Source organism: Homo sapiens, chromosome 1 (genome assembly GCF_000001405.40).
Source record: "Homo sapiens chromosome 1, GRCh38.p14 Primary Assembly".
NCBI lineage: Eukaryota > Metazoa > Chordata > Mammalia > Primates > Hominidae > Homo > Homo sapiens.
The window spans coordinates 222978680-222994713 of record NC_000001.11 but is presented as its reverse complement, the minus strand read 5'-3'; the positions used below and the strand labels follow the sequence as shown (position 1 = coordinate 222994713).

The window sequence follows — 16034 nt, the reverse complement described above, 5'->3', positions numbered from 1 at the left end:
AAAGCAATGCCATAATATTGTCTTAGCGCAAAGCCTTTGTCTACTCACTACATCTTAAAATTGTATGAATTATATAGCAAATCTATTTTTGGTCAGACTATAGGAAGAAAAATCCACAGGAATTTACAACAGGAAACGAATTGAATATATCCCTCTTAATTTCACAACACATCACCCTAATACAAAAAGATGCACTAGGGAATACCAAGAATGGATTATAGGGATGTTCTCCCTGGCAGCTAACTAGAGAGGAGAGATGGTGGGTGATCTATTTAAAATCGCTAAAAACAGCCAACTAAGTACAGAATGCTGGCCACATTCTGGTCGAGTACATGGTCTCTCTGGTACACTAGAGGCTAGAAAAAATATTTTGAAAATCAGATTAACAAAAAAATATGTTTCTGAATAAGGGAGGTTGTATGATATACCAGAAAGAGCATGCATGGTCTTTAAAGTCAGATTAGGATATAACCAGGTCCTGTCATTTACTAGCTACGTGACCTTAGGCAACTAACAACTTCTCTGAGCCTTGGTTCTTCATTTGTAAAATGCAGACAGCAATATCTATCTCAAATAGCTGTGAGAATTAAATGAGATAATAATAGATGCCCAACAATATTGTTTCTGTATCCTCAGAACAGAAACAATATGAACCACGTATTAAAGAATATGAACCACATAAAACAAAGAAGATTAATTTTATGATAGTTAAAATGTCTAATTGTGCTAACAAATAAGCTGGTAAATTTATGAATAAAGCTTTATTATAAAAGTTTTTATTTATGATCATGAAGTTTTGGCTATTATCTCATGTTGACTGATTTTGGAGAGCAAAATCAGCCTGGTAGAAACTGAAGCATTTCATTTACATAGAGCTGGTAATGGCTTTAGTCAAGGCAGAATCTACTTATGAGACAGCATTTACTGTTGACTATTGAAATGTAATGTTTTTCCTGGTTAAGATCATAACTAACAGATGTTGGTTAAGCAATAATATATACTAATACTTTGATTGAGAGAAATAAACCAGCCAGAACATGCAAGTAACCAGAGTTCAATTTCCTAATGTTTTTTAAGAGAAGAGACAGAAAAGGAAACATGTATTGCTTCCTGGGATCAGTATAAGGTTCTGCCTCATCTCCTACTATCTATTACTATACAGAGTAAGTGATCAAAATAAAGACCCTGAGACTTGGTAAACTCCAGAAACATCAAAGATCCAATCAGGTCATCTAGTGTTCTAATAAGACAGGAAAAAATACATTTAAGAGGGATTTTCAACACCAACAGCAAAAGCTGAAATCAAAAGAGCTTTAATGTTAATATTCACTTAATTAAAAATTATACTATCCACAATTCCTCAATCCTAATCACTATGGCTAATCAATGGCTTACATACTTATATTCATGTCCTCTAGGCTGTGCCTTCCTTCTTCTCTGGCAGCTGCAGAGTAATCAGGCTGACTCCATGTTACAGCAAATTTTGGGTAGTGAATTTGTTGCCAACATTTAGAGAATTAATGGCTCCACATTCAAATCTGGATTCTTGGCCAGGTGCGGTGGCTCATGCCTGTAATCCCAGCACTTTGGGAAGTCAAGGCGGTATGGTCACCTAAGTTCGGGAGTTCGAGAGCAGCCTAACCAACACGGATGGAGAAACCCCGTCTCTACTAAAAATACAAAATTAGCCAGGCATGGTGGTGCATGCCTGTAATCCCAGCTACTCGGGAAGGCTGAAGCAGGAGAATCGCTTGAACCTGGGAGATGGAGGTTGTGGTAAGACAAGATTGCGCCATTGTACTCCAGCCTGGGCAACAAGAGCGAAACTCTGTCTCAAAAAAAAAAAAAATTCTGGGTTTTTGACCTCTGGCAAGTTCTTGCAACATTTGGGCCCTCATTTCTAGAACCCCATCTTTTGTCGCGGCTAAGTAGCAGCCGATTTCTTTCGACAGGGCAGATGTTCCTTAGTGTTCCACAATCACCATCACTTCTCCTGTCACACCTAGCTAGCTTTATTCACTTGGATTATATGCCAGGCCCCTGAGGCATTCAAACTTTGAACCTCTAGACTTTATTTTTTTCACCTCTCTACCTCTACTGCCTAGTGATGAGGTAACACACAGAAGGCTCTTAATATAGTATTGCTTTTTGAATGAATCAGAACTTTAAGCCATTTTCTGATTCACTTTAGAATGAATTGGAACTTTAAATAATTTTTTAATAATTCAACAGATTATTTCAAGGTTCAATGCAAAAATATGTACCTGTACTTGATCTAGAAATAAATAGTACAAGGAATTTTTAAAAAGACTTGAAATGTTGGGCAAGGTCAAGAATTTCATTAGATTTATATCTTCCTTAAAATAAGAAAACTCAATCATTACTTTTTCATTAATTTTAATAATATAATAAACTCAGACTAGTAGTTGACTAAACTAGAGAAGTAAAAGAAAAAGTTAATTAGCCAAAATTTCTTTAGGTTCAACAGCAACAGTGAAGCTGTGTGACTAGCCACACACGGCTATCAGTCTAGACTGTGATCATGTTCAATTTTAAATGCGAGCAAACTGCTGAGTGGTTTGTTCATCTACAATGTCACTCACTTGGAACGTCGCAGAAAAAGCTGTCCTTGTGGAAGTTCCAGTCAACTTCTCTTTTCTCTCTTTCATAATGATCATCTGACCATCTATCATCCCGATGGCTGAAATGGAACGACAATTTGATCTTCAATAAAGTTCTCGTTATTTCAAAGCTGATAAGCATACTGGAAACATTACTTCCTCAAAGCCATGACCTGCTTAGTCCTTGATATTAAGTTGAAAGGATTAGAAGAAGCAACCAACATTAATTTTCTCACTTCTAAAAAAGAAAAAAAAAAAGAAAATCTCACCTTTTCATCCTACTACAACAAAATCTTCAAACACAATGACAAGTTAAGCAAATTCAGTGGCAAAGATTTTGAGCCACACATTTTACATTTAAATTTTTTGTTTAGGCAGTATTTGAAGAGGAATTCATTCAGCAATGTTTTGTCTAAAAGTTATATAAAAATAAATAATTGATTACCTTTTGGCTTGTTCATCTGCATATTTAAAGGGATAATTTGCTAATGTTGCTTTGTATCCTGTATTTTTCACCATATTATTCCATGTGACCAATCTCTGGCCTATTGCTGTTCCTCTTGGTTCAAAACCCTAAGGCAAAATTACAGGTGCTCATTAGTATATTTCATTTCAGGCTAAGTACAGTTACAATAAAAGCTTGGGAAAGCAATGTCAAAGTGATATATAGCTTTCAACAGAAAATATAGCTGTTCCTCACAGCTACTCCAGAGGTGACTGCATTAAAACAAGATGCCTTGACATGATAATCATCACCTATTTGCTGTGACAAAACAGTTTGATTCTTTGGTATGTTACATGTCTAAAGAAAGTTTATCTTTCCAACTCATGCCTAAGCATTTAGTAAATACTTACTTTTATCTTATAAAAATTATGATCAAATTAAATCATGTTACGCACTGTATTTTTACAAAGAGTGTTTCATTATCCTTGATCATATTTTCCTCATTATTCCACTCCAGAGAAACATTTACTTAAAAACAGACTCTGTGATCTGTTAGTAATACTGAAATTCCTTTAACTTCTTTGGGAGAAAACAGAGACAGTGTTAAAGACTTTATGAGAATAATTTTGTAGAAGGCAGATTCTCCAATTTATTGCTTTTTAGCTTAAACATGGGGACCAAGAAGCAAACCTTCCAGATTTTTGAGGGTAAACAAGTTCCTTGACCTTTTAAGAACCTGATAATACAGATAAAGTCATGTCTTTACTTTTCAGAAAGAGAATTGTTGCTTGAGAAGGTTTTTAAAGAAATGGGTTACTAAATAACATAATGCAACATGTATTAAAATACACAATATTTGGAGATGATTTTAGGCTAAAGAAAACATAAAAGTTAGTTACCAGCAATGGATCAGAGAAGTCAGGGAGCTCTGGCACTAATACTCCAACCAAGGCACAGACTACGATGAACATGGTGCACATGCCCAAGACCACCACCGGCCAGTCGGCTATCAGGGCTGCATAACTACAAAACACAAAGAAGTGTCGGCTATCAGAGCTGCATAACTACAGAAACACAAAGAAGGCACAAAGAAGGCCCTTCGCAGAAATATTTTTGGTACCTAAGACAGCAATTTATTAAATCCTCATATTGTAGACTACATACAGGTGTTTATCAATACAATATCTAATGGGATTATAAATATTTGTATGTAATTGTAGTAGAAAGTTACAAGATCATTGTCCCCTCATTTTTGTGATCAAGTAGCACTTTATGCCACAGGCTATTGAGAGTCAGAATAATGTTCATATATGACAAGTAACATTTTATATCTACATCTATGCCTGTAAAGAGATATAAAATACACACTTCATCAGTGGAAAGAAAATAAATTTTAACAGAGGATCCATACTCCAATCAGTGTCTTTCAGAACTTTTGTTTCTCTAGTTATTCCCTTTCTCCACACCTTTACTCTCAGAGTTCTTAAACAGTGAGAGTCTATAAACAGGTTCATACAGTTCAGATCTTAAAAATAACCAAACTAAGGGCTGAGCATGGTGGCTCACACCTGTAATCTCAGCACTTTGGGAGGCTGAGGCGGGTGGATCACAAGGTCAGGAGTTCGAGACCATCCTGACTAACACGGTGAAACCCTGTCTTTACTAAAAATACAAAAAATTAGTTGGGCATGGTGGCACACGCCTGTAGTCCTAGCTACTTGGGAGGCTGAGGCAGGAGAATCACTTGGACCCGGGAGGTGGAGGTTGCAGTGAGCTGAGATCATGCCACTGCACTCCAGCCTGGGCGACAGAGCTAGATTCTGTCTCAAAAAAAAAAAAAACTAAACTAAACACTTCCCATAAACCTGTAACTTTCCTTCTAGCTAAAACTACAGTGAGCATATCCACTAGATATGTGAGTTCCATGAGAGCAGAAATTCTTGTCAGTGGAAGTTGATCAATAACTATCTATTGACTAAATGAACAAACATCTGATGCTTGTACTCTCCAGCTACTACAATCTGGTTTTAGTCTCTTCCCACATGTGCAGAACTGTCTCTATTACCAAATCCTAACACTGGGCCCTTTCTTCCAGATGCGCTTCCCACACCCTCATTTGTTACCTCAAATTGAAAGATCTGTTTCTGTATCCCTTCCATGAGGTCCTGGATCACACGTTATTATTTTGGCACTTCCAAGTCTTGATATGAGCTGAGTACCCAACAGAAGCTGACTAAACTGAACGTTTTCTAAAATTCAAAATGCATCCTGCAAACTTCTGGCTTCTTGAATCTTTATTAGAAGAAAAGCAAGACAAAATATTTAACTTGTGGACCACTACTCTCAAATTCTCAGTAATGTTAGCTCATTTGGCTGCTGCAATGGCTATTTCTGGCTCATTTGAAATAGGATTCTTACTCATATATTTTTGAGTTATTTCTTCAAAATCATGCTAGTAGTTACAAATAATTCTGGTGGCTCTAAATGTCAGTCTGAAAAAAAGCTACTATATGTCTCTAATAATAGACTGCCAATTTTTATAATCTGATGTCTTAACTTTATTGATCTGGCTTTGTGGAGATATTTGCTTCAAATTATAATTCTAGTAAGGATATTAAAATATAGAGCAATTATGCTTTAAGGGAGCATGTGCACAGGCACTTTTCACTGCTGCTCTTTTAAAGTAATCTTAAAAGGCCAGACACAGTGGCTCACGCCTGTAATCCCAACACTTTGGGACGCTGAGGCAGTCAGATCACCTGAGGTCAGGAGTTTGAGACCAGCCTGGCCAACATGGTGAAACTCTGTCTCTACAAAAATGCAAAAATTAACTGGGCATGGTGGCACACGCCTGTAGTCCCAGCTACTTGGGAGGCTGAGGCAGGAGAATTACTTGAACCCAGGAGGCGGAGGTTGCAGTGAGCAGAGATCATATCACTGCACTCCAGCCTGGGTGAGCAACACTCTGTCAAAAAAAAAAAAAAAGAGAAAGAAATAAAGCTATAAAGGAAGGAAGGAAGAAAAAAGAAAGAAAGAGAAGAGAGAGAAAGGAAGAAAAAAGAAAGAGAGAGAGAAAGAGAAATCTTATAAAAATAAATAAATAAATACAAGCTCGTCCTTATTCAGAATACCAGTTGCTCTTGTGCTTTACATAAATTATTATATTGTTCAATTCTCACAACAACCCTTGGAGATGAAACTGCAGCATTGACAAGTTATAGAACTTATTCAATGTCACAAAACTAGGAACCTAGATAGTCTGGTTCTAGTGTCAGGGCTTTTAATCTCTGGGCTGTCATTTCTTTCTTCAGACACAAGAGTAACTAGAAACATTAGGAATAACTACACTTGCCACAAATGTCTGTTTCCCAAAACTTACAATTAAAAATTCCTAGCCCTATTTATAGTTAATTTCTCTATGCAAAATCATATGGGTTCTAAGTTTGAACATTATTCACTAGACTGCAAATTTTAGATTTAAAAACTCATTCAGGAAAAATGACAGAATAACCTTTTAGAATAATTCTGAAAATAATAAAAACATTTAAGTGACAATAAGCTGATTGTGGTTGTTCAAATGTAAACACCAAGTGTCTAGAAGCTTTCACACTTCTAGGACACACCCTGTGCAAAAATATTCTCCTTACTTTATTTCCTCCTCCACAAAATGCAAACTAAGATGAAAGTAACTAGTTTTGAAGCAATAAAGTCCTCTGTCTCAATAGCACATTTGAGACTACTTTCATTGCTTCAGACTTAAAAAGAGTCCTTTACATTTTAGACCATTAAAATATCAGCCCTGTGAAATGAAAATGGCCCCAGGCTTATACAATTATTCATTACACTTTATTTTAAATGGATTCATTTTCTCTCAAATGAATCAGAAGTTATGCATTTTTACCTATTAACATGTTATCAATAGAGGGCAGTAGGCCCCAAATTGCTTAGTATTCATACTGTGGTTTAATTAACCCATATAATAACTTTTAATTTTGTGTTCTTGAAAATCTGCACACACGTATAGCAACGTTAAAAGCCCCATTCAATAATTGCTTTTCTTCCCTTTGAAAACATTTGGTTTTGATTTTACAGCACTGCTACACACCATATACGTGCACTGACTACATATGGAAACTTTATGGCATTAGTGATTTCAGCACATTTCTTCCAAACACGTTTAACCTCACTATATTACAATTCCACTTCCTTACACAGCCGATGTTTCCCACGCTAACCTTTCCTAGAGATAACTGTTCACATTTAAGTAATGGGATCACCATCCTGAGTATATAAAACACCATGGGGGAAAGCCCAATCATTCTAAGTAAATTTTACTCAAACAAGTATTTCTTCTCAACACCACAAAATTGCTGAGGCTAATTCTACTCCTCCTGCTATCTATGCAAATATATAGTATAGCTGTGGGTACCACATGGGAAACAGAGTTGCCTGCGCAATATGAAATCCAGACAATGGTTGTAATATGAAGATAAAAGTCTAATAAAGTAGGAAAATTGGAGAAGTAAAGGAAATTAAAAATAGTCTATAAATCTCACAAATATATATATATATTTGATGATGCTATATATATATATATATATCCATATCCTGTGCATTATTCTCTTTGAAAAGTGAACCACATGTAGAGTAGAAGAATTTTCAAAGGAACCATTCTTTTAACTATCATGTATTCTTCTGCATATCAAATCATATTTGTCTTTCATCCACCTTCTCTAATATTGAAAATCTTTAGACACCACAATATAACTGTAAATGTGGCCCACCTCTGTAACACCTGGCTTACAGCAGGTAGTCATTTTCCAGTGAAAGACCCTTTTCCCGGAGGCCCTACTGCTGTACTAGCTGCTGAGGTTAGGGACCACAACTCTTTACAGGGCACTGCTGTATAAAAGTTCACATCATCTTCTCAATAGGTTAAGTCTCTAATAGGAGACGGATCTGAAGGGCTCATTCTCCTTTTACAGAAGAAGGAACAGAAGTAGCAGAGGTAATGAAATGCGTTCGTGGATGAACCATGGATCTGAGTTAGCAGGCATGCTGCCTGGCGTTCTGGTCCAGGGTGTTACTGCCATGCTGGAGTTTTCACTGGTACTCAGTGGAAGTCCCTCAAACATAGTCAGAGATTTTCAGTCACCTTATTATTGGGTTTACTCTGGAAACAGATCAGAAATAACTGTTAAAACAAATAAACGAAGTATCTTATAGAGCCAGCTTATGCTCAAGTGACATTAAAATGGGGGCCAATTTTAAGTGGGTCATTTATATTACAATAACATTCCCCCATAATAAATTTTCCTCTTAGCTTACAAAGATTTTTTTTCCCTTGCTCTTTGCTGCCTTTCTCAAAACACTCTTCTTTTTTCTCTTCCCTCTGAGCAGAAAGCCGTGTTTCAGATGGTATAATTCAGTGCCCACACCAGAGGCTTCCTTTTCCTCACCGACCACCGGATCTTTAACCCCTTATAGCCTGGCTTTTGCTCTCATGACTTTTCTGAACTGCCCAAGTCAACTAACTATTCTTGGTTTTTACCTTCCTTGACCTGAGCAGAATTTAACACTGTTAGCTACCTCTTTCTTCCTAAAAATCCTTTCCCCGTTGGTGTATTCTTTTCTGTTTCTCTTAATAACTCTTTCTTATTCCTCTTGTCCCTTAAAGATAAGACATTTCAAAATGTTAAGTCATAACTTTTCCAGTGGCATCAACTATCAACTTAGTGAGAAGAGTGATTGAAGTTTGAGAAAATTAAAAAAAAAGAAAAGAATATACAACTCTTTTTCTTGTGAAGTAACAAATTCATCCAACAATTAGCATTAAACAATAAGGAAGCAAGGCATTCTGGGAATACAAAAATGGCAGACTTGGATCTTGCCCTCAGGGAATTTACAGCCTAATACAGAAAATAAGACAGGCACACAAATATCTACAAGACAGGTTAAAAAAAGTGTGTGCTTTTTGTTTTTTTCTTTCCCCCACCCCGAGACGGAGTCTTGCTCTGTCACCCAGGCTAGAGTGCAGTGGCACGATCTTGGCTCACTGCAACCTCCACCTCCCGGGTTCAAGCAATTCTCCCGCCTCAGCCTCCTGAGTAGCTGGGATTCCAGGCACCCGCCACCATGCCCAGCTAATTTTTGTATTTTTAGTAGAGACAGGGTTTCACCATGTTGGCCAGGCTGGTCTCGAACTCCTGACCTCGTGATCTGCCCGCCTCGGCCTCCCACAGTGCTGGGATTATAGGCGTGAGCCACTGTGCCCGGCCAAAAATATGTGTTTTTTAGAGGGGTACAGATGAAATGTTTTGTGAATTCAATAAGGGAAGCAATAAGTTCCAGCCAAGGTGGGAAAGGGGAATCAGGAAAGGCTTTGTTGAAGAAGTTATATTTATATGCACATGTACGTAAAAGAAATTAGAACTCTGTTTTAATAACACCAATTTAATAACAGAGAAAGAAATCTTTTCAAAGTAAAATTTTTAGTCATTTGCAAAAGCCCTATTTATAGAAAAGTAGAAATTTGTTTTCTTAATATGCCGTATTTACTTCCATACCTCTTTCCCTCATTTTTTCTTTCTCTCTTGTTTTTTTGCAAAAATGAAAAGGGAATTGGATAAACAAAATGTAGTATATACATACAATGGAATATTATTCAGCCTTACAAAAAGGAGATTCTAATACATGCTACATGAATGAACCTGGAAGAAATTACACTAAGTGAAATAAGCCAGTTCCAAAGGGACAAATACTGTAGGATTCGACTCATACGAGGTACTTACAGCAGTCAAACCCATAGAGACAGAAAGCAGAATGATGGTTGCTAGGGCCTGGGGGTAGGAGAAAATGGGGAGTTAATGTATAATGGGTACAGAATTTCAGTTTTACAACAGAAAAAAAGTTTTGGAAATGGATGGTGGTGATGGTTAGACAACAATGTGAATGTACATAATGCCAATGAACTGTACTCTTAAAAATAGTTAAAAGGCAACATATATGTTATATATACAACAAATATAAACATGTTATATATACAACATATATAACATATAAACATGTTATAACATTTAAAGTATGTCAACATGTTATATCTATCATATAAACCTGTTATATATAACATATAAACCTATGTTATATATAACATATAAACCTATGTTATATATAACATATATGAGTACGCTCTCTCTCTCTCTCTCTCTCTCTATATATATATATATTTTTTTTTTTTTTTTTTTGAGACAGAGTCTGGCTCTGCCACCCAGGCTTGAGTGTAGTGGTGTATTTCAGCTAAGCACAAACTGCTTCCTAAGCTCAAGAGGTCCTCCGACCACAGCCTTCCAAGTAGCTGGGACTACAGGTACAAACCACAATGCTTGGCTAACTTTTTGTATTTTTTTGTAGACACAGGTGTCCCCATGTTGCCTTGGCTGGTCTTAAACTCCTGACCTCAAGTGATCCGCCTGCCTCATCCTCCCAAAGTGCTGGGATTATAGGCGTGAGCCACTGCGCCTGGCCTATTATGTATATTTTACCACAATTTTAAAAATATATTTTTTTTTAAATAGAAGGAGAGTTTACTAATTAATATTTATGTAGTAATTTCACTTCAAAGACAGGATAACTCCCTTGAGGCAGGCTTCAGTGTTATCAGCATTTGAGCTTCTTTGGCAACTGAATTTCAAAGATCACTTAGAATTTCTTAAGTGTAATGACATTGTATCTGGAATTACAATGTGTAAGGACATCTGATGAGAAAACGCTTTTTTTAGGAACTCTTATCAAGTTAAAATTTTCTCTATTGAAAGATAAGCCTTAGACATTTCCACATAAAAGAATACTTCCATTGGTAACAAGATTTTTAAAAAGAAAGACAACCCCTCTGAAATAAACTGCCATGAATTCGAGTCATGGTAGTTGGCAGAACAGTATCTCTTTCCTCACTAAGTAAGCCAATCCGTTGCAGGAAGGAATGCAAAATAAATAAACAAATATAAATGTTTACGCACAAATATTTTTTTTTTTGAGATGGAGTCTTGCTCTGTCCCCCAGGCTGGAGTACAGTGGCACAATCCTGGCTCACTGCAACTGCCACCTCCCAGGTTCAAGCGATTCTCCTGCCTCAGCCTCCCGAGTAGCTGGAACTAAAGGCACGTGCCTCCACGCCTGGCTAATTTTTGTATTTTTGGTAGAGATGGGGTTTTGCCATGTTGGCCAGGCTGGTCCCGAACTCCCGACCTCAGGTGATCCACCCACTTGGCTTCCCAAAGTGCTGGGATTACAAGCATGAGCCACTGCACCTAGCCCTAGACACAAATAGAATTTAATAGGGTTAGAAATCTACCTTAAGATTAAAACCACTTTTGGAGATATGGAATTCCTCAAGCAGCCAACTCATGGGACATTTCTTTTTCTTTCATAAAAATATGAATGAGGAAAGTGAAAAGAACAGCAAAATACGGAGAAAATACTAGACTGGAAAAAGCATGCAGGTAAGTTTATTATTTAATAAGATGACCCAGATTACTTTACCTTTTTGGCAACTTGAAAGGTCTGGATGGTCTGAAAAAAAAAAAAGCAAAGGAAAAATGATCAAAAACAGAGCATCATAAACATCATAACATAAACAAAGGCTTTACATATGTGTTGAACATTTTACTTGTTATCTCTTACAAAGAATCTTGGAAGTGTTAAAAAAAAAAAGGCAATCTATTTGAGAGATTTTAAACAATGAATGTTGGCTACTTTACATACTAGTAGAGACAGCTCGAGTGGCTAGTCAGGAGGCAGAACCTTCCCAGACTCCGTATCACCCTCTCCTGATGGAATCATACTCACACTGTACAACATTCTTCTCTGAGATCTACAGCTACCAGATTCAGTCTTCTCTCCCCTAACAGGAATCCACATCCCTCAGTCTCCAATCTAAGCTGCTTCCTTACGTAGCAAAGATCCCAACACTTAAAAAAATTGGATATTAATACCTTCTTTTAGGTATTCTATTCCCTCTTCAAGATACCAGCTGCTTCTCCATTTTTCAGTTTCTTAATATCTAACTTCACAATCTACTTCAACAGATACGGGCTTGTATTTCCAATCAGCTCTTTCCCATACTGTTTTATTATTCCCACTCATCCTTTGTACCTTGCCTCCCAGATATAGGATAAGTTTGCTAAAGAAACTCCAAACTAAGTCTCAATCTCCAAACTTTGTATTCCTATCAGATTATTTTTTTCCTATTTACTGGAAAGCATTTAATAAATATTTGTTGAACAAACAAAAGTACACTGGTTATCACAGTGTGGTCTAAAGACAGCTGGGAGTTCCTGAGACCCTTTCATGGGGTTTGTGAGACCTCCCTTTTCCAACTACAGATGTGTGTAAAGCCAGATTTTCTTCATATACTTCATATATTTCAACCAAATGGCATATTGCCATAGATTGCAGAACAAATATGAGAATACGGCTTTTAGTAAGCCACATGTCAAAGAGATTTGCAAAAATGTAAAACAATGATACTTATCTTGCTAAACTTTTTTGTTTTGAAAAATGTAATTATTATTCACAAAATGTGTTATTTATGTTAACATGTAATGGGCTTATTATTTTTAATGAGTTTCATAATTTAATATTTGTCAGTTTCGATTCCAATATGGTACATATCAGCTAAACACATAAACAAAAGCTCTTTGAAGGTTCTCAACAATTTTTGAAACTGTAAAGGGGTTGCATGACCCAAAGTTTAGGAACCACTACACTAATTTATTGAGGATATATAAATATTTGCTGACTGAATAATTGAATTGCCTAGCTACATACTCTTTCTTAAAATGAAATCTTTCACCAGACTGTACCATACTTGGAGAAACAAAACAAAATGTAAAAACCTGTCCTCCAAACTTCCTACTTCAAGCTATTACTCTTCCAATAGTTGGAACCCTACCTTGGAATTTCTTGAAGATCTAAAGTTCTCTTTCCTATTTTCTCTCTCCATTTACATTTCTCCCTCAGATACATGTACCCACTCTTAAAAAGAAACATTTATCTAATTCCTAGTATACCCATGAACAAGACAAACAGGGTTCCCAACTACACAGAGCTAACATTCTGGAATGCATTTTGTATTAAACTGTTGATACAAGAGATGCATGTGTTCTAAATTTCAAGCTTTATTTACATGCCCTCGTTATGGATTCTAAGCCCATTAAAATATTAAAACCAAGGAGATGGAACAATCTCAGAAGTTGCAAGCACCAGAAAGAATTTTAGGGAATATATATTCCAATTCCACTGCAGCCTCATTTTTAGAGATGGACCTCAGTTTGCCTTTTGGTCTCTCAGCATCTTAATAGTGGAGCTGTAGTGAGAACTCAAGTCTCTTGATACCTAATTTGCTGTTCTCTGTCCTGTGAGTATTTGTCTGTAAAACCAAGGAAGAAAAGCCCATAGGGCAAAAAGTATTAACCTCTTATACAGAAAATAATTGTCTTTTCTTTTGGCAGATGTGGAACTTAAAGTCTGAGTTTCCACTAAGAACAGCATAAGAGAAGTCATTTTTTGTTCTGAGACAGAGTCTTGCTTTGTTGCCCAGGCTGGAGTGCAGTGGCACGATCTCGGCTCACTGCAGCCTCTGCCTCTTGGGTTCCAGCGATCCTCCTGCCTCAGCCACCTGGGTAGTTGGGACTACAGGCGCATGCCACCAAGCCCAGCTAATTTTTGCATTTTTAGTAGAGATGGGGTTTCACCATGTTGGCCAGGCTGGCCTCGAACTCCTGACCTCCCACCCGCCTGGGCCTCCCAAAGTGCTGGGATTACAGGCCTGAGCCACTGTGCCCAGCCAAGAACTTGTTGCTTTAAGAAAAAAGGTGAGCCTGAATATTTACAGCATTATAAAGGATACCAAAAATGCATTCTTTTTATATATGTACAGTAAAGATAATTCATTTTTTAAAAATCTAAAAAAAAGACATTAGATACATAAAAAGGAACCATATCTTATTTGTATTCATATCTCCATAACTAGTATAATGTATGGTCCTTTGTGGATGTCAGATCAGTGCGTGTTGGATTAATGAATGGGGATCTTTGATTACTTTTCTCATACTCAACAGCTTTGAAATCAGTAGACAATGAATTAAAAAAGCAAGAAGCTAGGGACATAAATATTAATATAGGTAATTTTTATTTTGTTTCTCTCTTATACACACACACACACACACACACACACACACTTTGTTACATCAGCCCATTCCTATTTGTCAATCCTAAACTCTTTCAACATTTTACTAAACTTTGTAAGTTTCTCTCTGTGCCTCTGTATCCTACAGTATAGGCTCTCTGTTCAATGCTGCAGGAACCATTAGTTTGTTGGTTAATCAGAAAGGTTAATTAAAGAGAAACATTTTTTGAAGTTCTACATACATTCCTTAAATATCTAATAGTAACTTAAACATAAATGTTAATCTGTTCTTACATAAACCATAGACCTGCTGCATTGTCTATGACTGAGTTTTTGAGGACTTTGGATACTTTTGAGTATCCTGGATATACTGACTACAATACACAACTAAATTTTGATGATTTTTTTCCCCAGATCTTTTACAATTTTCTCTTCCATGCCTAATTCAGCAGTAAAATTTTTTTGTAGCAATTAACCTTTTTTTCCTAAGGCTACAATTTTCTTTTCGTGAAAACAACTTTTTCTTTTAGCATCTATATATAAGTGAACTAAAAACATTAATCAGATAACATAATTACCAAAACAAGCCAACTGGCATGCGTGGGTTTGGTAAGCACACTTGTCAAATGCTGGGAGCAGAAGTGTGTGGCTGTAGGAGACAGCAGCCTCCTGACCTGCAGCGCTCAGCTGGCCAGGGCTATCCAAGTATGCATAGAGGGACGGAGTGCAGGGCCACTCCAGTGAGCTGGTGAGGGCTTAGCAGCTTTACACAGACTGGGCTTTCAGTGAACACGTTCACATCTGAAGAAGCCATGAAGCACACTTAGTTTTTCTGGTGAATCTACAAAAGACCAAAAACCCCCAAAAGCTGTATTTTCAAATACAATTACACATTGATTTTTCAATGAGTTTTATTGAGATATAATTCATATACCACATAATTCACCCAATTAAGTGTACAATTCCATGTTTTCAGTACTTTCATGAGTTATGCAACCATCACTACAACTATAAATTAATTTTATTTAAAAATTTTTAAATTTAAATTTTTTTTTTGAGACAAGGTCTTGCTCTGTCACCCAGGCTGGAGTGCAGTGGGCCAGCTCACTGTAGTCTCAATTTCCTGGGCTCAAGTAATCCTCCCACCTCAGCCTCCTGAGTAGTTGGGACCACAGGCGTGCGCCATGACACCCAGTTAATTTTTTAGATTTTTTATTTGTAGATGTGGGGTCTCCCTGTGCTGCCTATGCTGGTCTTAAACTCCTGGGCTCAAGTGACACTCTCGCCCAGGCTCCCAAAGTGCTGGGATTACAGGCGTGAGCCCCTGTGCCCAGCTTATATATTGATTCTAGCCCAAGGTAATTTATAGATTCAATGCCATCCCCATCAAGCTACCAATGACTTTCTTCACAGAATTGGAAAAAACTACTTTAAAGTTCATATGGAACCAAAAAAGAGCCTGCATCGCCAAGTCAATCCTAAGCCAAAAGAACAAAGCTGGAGGCATCATGCTACCGGACTTCAAACTATACTACAAGGCTACAGTAACCAAAACAGCATGGTACTGGTACCAAAACAGAGAGATAGACCAATGGAACAGAACACAGCCCTCAGAAATAATGCCACATATCTACAACTATCTGATCTTTGACAAACCTGACAAAAACAAGAAATGGGGAAATGATTCCCTATTTAATAAATGGTGCTGGGAAAACTGGCTAGCCATATGTAGAAAGCTGAAATTGGATCCCTTCCTTACACCTTATACAAAAATTAATTCAAG

At 37.0% G+C, this 16034-nt stretch overlaps 1 protein-coding gene across 15 annotated transcripts in view; it reads right to left on the bottom strand.

The window, feature by feature from the left end:
- Positions 1 to 16034, bottom strand: part of DISP1 (dispatched RND transporter family member 1) — a 190957-nt gene that overhangs the window by 11282 nt on the left and 163641 nt on the right. For 11 of the 15 annotated variants that reach the window (NM_032890.5, XM_011510075.3, XM_011510073.3 and 8 more), the window contains 4 exons: positions 11605 to 11634; positions 3966 to 4089; positions 3067 to 3194; positions 2604 to 2701 (listed from right to left, as the gene is read on the bottom strand). In NM_032890.5, the coding sequence (NP_116279.2) occupies positions 2604 to 2701; positions 3067 to 3194; positions 3966 to 4089; positions 11605 to 11634 (380 nt within the window). Of the gene's footprint in view, positions 1 to 2603; positions 2860 to 3066; positions 3195 to 3965; positions 4090 to 5189; positions 5359 to 11604; positions 11635 to 14829; positions 15093 to 16034 lie in introns of all 15 variants that reach the window. The other 4 variants (XM_017002612.2, XM_006711594.4, XM_047432774.1 and 1 more) reach the window with 4 other exon arrangements.